The sequence below is a fragment of the Homo sapiens genome, chromosome 11 (genome assembly GCF_000001405.40).
Source record: "Homo sapiens chromosome 11, GRCh38.p14 Primary Assembly".
NCBI classification, from domain to species: domain Eukaryota; kingdom Metazoa; phylum Chordata; class Mammalia; order Primates; family Hominidae; genus Homo; species Homo sapiens.
The window spans coordinates 98,496,469-98,502,468 of NC_000011.10; positions in this window are offsets into that span (position 1 = coordinate 98,496,469).

Here is a 6,000-nt window from a genome sequence, read left to right on the forward strand (position 1 = left end):
TGCAGGATTGTTAAGATGATTCAATGAGGTAATACGTGTAAGAATTACCAGTGGCTGGCTTTTAGGATGGACTCAATGAAGAGAAGCAAATGTAATAATAATTAATTCCTTAAGTATGCTAATCTTGTCTGTAGGTCATTTCTTTATGAATTGCAAATGATCAGAAAGCATTCCTATATTATATACTACTTCAAACTCAATTTCGATCATAAATATAGCAAAATATCTGAAACATAAAGGTCCAGTAAATAATTGTTACAATTTATGAATTCCACTATTGATTCAACTTCTTTTTTAACAAGGAAGCATCAAACTAAATAATTCGCATGCTTATTTTTCAGCAGGAAAGTTAGAAAATTGCCTGTGTTGTCACCCTATGCTGACTACAGCTCAATTTTTGTCAACATGGTTCAAAAGATATTTTAGCATTTACCTGATACATGATATTGAAGACTTAATTTCTTCAGACAGTGGAGCCACAACCTAGTGTTGAAGTCCCAGATTCCTTTAATAAGCCTCTGCACTTAAACTGTGTGAATTCACAAACCGTATTTTTTTCTTATTGTAAAATTTGTTATATTAGAGCTTTAATTACAGATAAATTATTAAATTTGTTGTTCCTATATAGATGTACTTTTCCTAAGAGGAAAAATACTAAGACTAATTTCAGTATGTTTTTAAATTGACATCATCTAACACAAATTGTCGAATATAACCAAAGCTGTACATTTATCGTGGTTTATATTACCCATATGTAGCACAAATTCTAATCCCCGTGTGTCTGAGTTATGGATGCTTGGAATCTTCTGTGAACTTTCATTTCAGGCTTTATTATTTCTTATGAGAGGTAGCCTCTCTAGACTCAACCCATTACAAAAAAATTATGCCTGTATTTCCTCCATCCCTTTCAGTCAGCTAAATATATTCACATCAATGCTGAAATAGGAAATTAGTTTTATAGTAGCAAGATCATTATATGATAATTGTTTCTTATAAGGCTATAACCTTGGACAAGGGGATAATAGAAAGCAACTTTATTCATTTAAAATACAGCACATGTATCTTTTTTTTCAGTCACCAATCTGTGTCTTATTTCATCTCTAACCCAGCTCCTCACTTCTTTTTATAAACTTTCCTTTTATTCACTTGGCTTCAGATATAACACATTCTCGAATTTTCTTTTTACTTCAGTGGTAGCACCTTCTCAATCATCTTTGCTTACTTTGTTTTTTCCCATTTCCTCAACCTGAAGCAGTGGAAAGCCTTAGGACTGGGTCACGTTCTTATTTAGAAACATTCACTCCCTAGGTAAGCTCATTACCTACTTCCTCTACTTTAAATACTAGTGATATAATGGTGAGTGGTAAATTTTAATCTCCAGCTCTGACCTCCTACCTACCTTTCAGAACCTTATACTGTATTCAGCTGACTACTTGACATCTCCACTTGGATTTCTGATCAGTGTATCTAACTTAAAAGATCCCAAAGGTATACAATTGATTCCCTGTTTTGTCAATTATACCTCCTATGCTAGGGATTCCTATCTCATTAAGCTGCAACACCATTCATCCAATTGCTCAGGCTAAGACATTGTATTTCTCCTTTTTCTGCTAGTGTGCTTTATCTGAATAAATAGTACCACCATTTACCCAGTAAATTGATCACCCTTAAGCCTTAATTTTGAAGCTTCCTCAATTAGTCTCTTGCTTCCATTTTTGTTTATCCAAATTAGTCCTAGCGATTATTAAGAGGAAGAGTTGCCTTCAGTTTTTCCCTCTATTATTCTGTTCTAGCCACAGTGATTTTACTGTTTCTTGACTACATAAATACATGCTTAATTCAGAGTATTTATTATCTATCGTATCCAAAATACTGGTTGACTGGGCTCAGTGCAATCTCATCTAATGGCACTTTATGTTGTTTGATGACAACAGATAAAGTTTTATCCTTTGAATTGGAAATGTAATATTGTCATCCTTTGAGTTGGAAGTGTAATATTGAATAAACATGTAATTCACTACTTACTTGATACCCCAAATGACACTCACTAAATAGGTTCCTGTACCTCTCAATTCTAAGAAACACTGGGGCCCTGATTTCCAAAACTGCTGAAAAGAAGATGCTCTTTTCGTTTGTGTCTCTTCTTTCCAACCCTAAATCACTTGTTTGAAAGATTCACAAAGGCCTGCAGGACGGAGAATCAAGTTAATTTAATGTTTTACTAGCAAGCTTCTGCTTAAAAAAAAAAAAAGATCTAAATCATACCCTTTGCTCAATGCCACTACTTAATTTCTGTTATTCATTTACAGCCCAGCAAGAACTATTACCAATATGATTTCTAATATAGAAGAGCTATAGTAACTCACAATAAAAGAAAAAAACCTCATATTATGATAATTCACAAAATATTAATAAGCATTCATATAATTAAATACTCAAAATACCCAAAATGGATTATAAATCATCTTATAGTGATTTTTATCCTAATAGTTTGATTTCAATTCTGAGTAGACCTGAAATTTTTCTTAAATGTAGAACAGTGGTTCCCAGACAAGAACAATTTTCTCTTCCAGAGGACAAATGTCTGGAGACATTTTTAATTATCACAACTTGGGGTTGGTGGAGGATGTTACTGACATCAAGTGGATAAAGGTCAGGGATGTTGCTAAACATTACATACATCCCTAAGTGCATCCTACATTGTCTTCTGCACACGAAGAATTATCTGGCCCTAAATGCCAAAAATGCCAAGGTTCAGACATGTTAATCTGCAGTAAGTAAATATAATAGCAGAAATTTCACCAGTAATACTCTTTTAGAAAATTACATACTTTTTTTAACTTGTGTAAGCTATATACAGTAAGGTATAAAAATTAATTTGTTTTAAAGAAAGAAATCATAATAAAACACAATTGAAGGTTATTTTTAAAATTACCATAATGCAAAATTAAACTTTCTATATTTTACAAAAAAGAAAGCATGAAAGATAATATGTAGGGTTCCCCCTCCTCTCACCCCTTAGTTTTCTTATTTATGATTTCTTCATGAATTTGTCTCTGTTTATAGAAATTGTGTTGTAAATGTATGGTAATTATAAATTTATTAGGCATTTCTCTAAAAGAATGCCATGTTCTTTAAAAATTCATAAATATTCATGTTTTCTATAAAACAGTAGTCATTTTCTAAGATGTTTATGAAAACGTGTGGCATTTAAGAGGTTATCTGAAAATGTGACTAAATTTAAAGCCAAAGAGAAGTTTAAAGTTGAGAGTTGTGAGCAGCAGATCCAATAAAAAGACCATAAGGCCAGAGGAGGAATATTTTCCTCTACACAAAATTGATTTTTCTAGAAACCATCAGGGTGAAATGAATTATGTTGTTCTTAGGATTCTTCTTTAGATTGTTTTCTGTTCTTTATCTACCAAATACTTTCCAAGGAAATTTTATTTGTTCTCCTAGCTTTAACTCTTGCTTGTATACTGATTTCACTGAAATGTATGATCCTCCTTAGTTCTCTTTCCTGAGTTCTAGGCGTAACTATACAACTGGATGCTTAACAAAACACCAGAGAGAATTCAGAGTGTTGGTCTAGGTTGGTTTCGTAGACAAATGAACTTTGCAGTCACACAGGGAGCCACAGCCACAAGGGCATTTTTATTTTGCACAAGGTCACAAAGATTATGCCGCCTTTCTCCTGTGTGTCAGAGTCTGAATTCATCCTTCCCACTAGACCATTTTCTCCTAATAATCAGTAATCTCCAGTCCATTTCCTCTGGGTTTCTCGCTCTATGTAGGCAATAGCATTCCACACTTTTAACTACTTTTTAGATGTTTATTTCCATGTTTTCAATAGTATCTTTGTATTGTCATTACTTGACTTCTCTGTTTTAGAATTCCTTTGGCTCCCCCTTATACAAGGTGAATAGTCAGTTCCCTAACACCCATTCCAAAAACAAAACAAAACAAAAAACTTCCCTTTTTCTGTGCACACATAGGGATTATATCAGATATTTTGGTCAATCAACCCCTAGGTTATATATTATTGTGACTATGTAAATATTATTCACATATCAGCTACATTTGACACTTTGGGTATATTTATTTTCTTATGCTTCCTTTTATTTTCTCTGAGATAATATCTGAATCATATTAAAACACTTCTTTGAGACATCTCTTCTTGGGTCTTTGTCTTCCCACTTAAATCTGGCTGTTTCCTCTCTATGTTTAATAGGATCTCCCTTCAGCATATCATGGGAATTTCCTTATCATTTCTCCTATGTTAATTTTTTTGTCTTATAACTCCATGAATATTTCTCTTTATTTCTCATTTGATAAAGTATATCCCAGACTATTTTCCAGGAAGGGATGAATATAAGATTATTTTTGAGATTTTGGGCAGTGGATATTGTAAATTGGCACTATTCAGTGTCTATTTTCAGTACCCTCTAATGTAGCTACCATTACTTCATTTCTGCCTGAAAAGCTGTAAACATTTCACAGATCCCCTTTGTAGAGAGGGTGCTGGATATAGTTTTTATTTCACCAATCTTACTCACTTTTTTTTTTTGTTTTGTAAAATTTAGACAGCAGGAGGCTCCACTTCAACTATTCTTTCTGTTTTTACTGCTAAGCATGGTCTTAGAAGGCTTTGGACTTTCTATAGCATTGTCAGGTATATCCTTGTCCAGTCATGAGTTTTCTTATTGTAAGACATATGGCCCAAGGCATCTATTTTGTTGATGTACATCACAGTGGGCCCAATGTAATAGTAGATCTAGGTAAAATAACAGTAGTCACAGTCACAGCTGAATATTATACTTCACACACACACAATCTGCCAGTAGCAGAATTCAATGTTCTGTGACCAATACACCACTAGCTACTGGTGTCAGTCCAATATATTAGAACTTATATTTCATTTGTTTCTTTATTTAAGTCTTTTAATTCTCTCCTCCCTATGTTCATAATTTCCTTTAAATCTTTAAGCATATTTCTAAGGGCTACTGGAAACTGTTTGCTAATTTCATTATCTCATTCGTGTGAATATTATGTTTCTAGTATGTAAATAATGCCATTCTGAATTAAGAATGTTAAAATTTGTATTGAAAAGCATTTAATTTGATTGAGGACCAGCTTGATCATTTTATCGGCAGCAGTTGAATAAGTGTTACTCTAGGAAATATAAACTACTGTGATGTTTGTGTATCTAGAGAACGTTCCAGGTATTCAATGTGATCTCTCTAATCTAATGGGCAGTTGAGCATCTCCTGATCTTTTGTGTGCTCTGGTAATCATTGATGTTACAGTTCTCTTGTTCTTTGCCTAACATTGTTGAATTTTATAATGTGTAGGCCTTAATTCTTATTCAGTGAAAGAATCAAAAGGACATATATGCATTTTAGTCTATACTATGGGCTTTCTCTGTGTTCTTCCTTTGACTGTAACACTCCATATTACAAATTCAGTTGACTATCTTATCTCCTCAAAACTTAAACACACATATACACACATCAAATCCGGTGAGGGCTTTATTTTTGGTATTTTATTATTACCATTATTAAGGTTAGAAATTTTGCCACATATTTGAGGATCCTTTGGTGTCTGTTTATATATGGGGATGTAGTACCAAGAAAAAAAAGTAGATTCTAACATTTTATGTTTATGTGTGGGGTATAATACAAAGATAAGTCTCATCATCTGGCTAGACTCCTCATTATAAAAGACCCAGTTATACTATTTATTTGTATTTTTCTTGATTTATTTACTTTCTGAAAGATAAATATTCTAGTATATTGCTATGTGGTATAATCCTGGCTTTCCAACTTTTCGGAGAGCTAAGTGGTATCAATAGCGATGAGCCCCCACACTTCTGGATGTAGACCTTCATTTTATTACTTTTTATTCTAGTAGAGTTTTATAGTACTCAGTTAAGCATAGTTCCAAAATGACTAGAGTAATTCTGTATAACTTTTCACCAGATAAACCTACTTTTTATGGTTT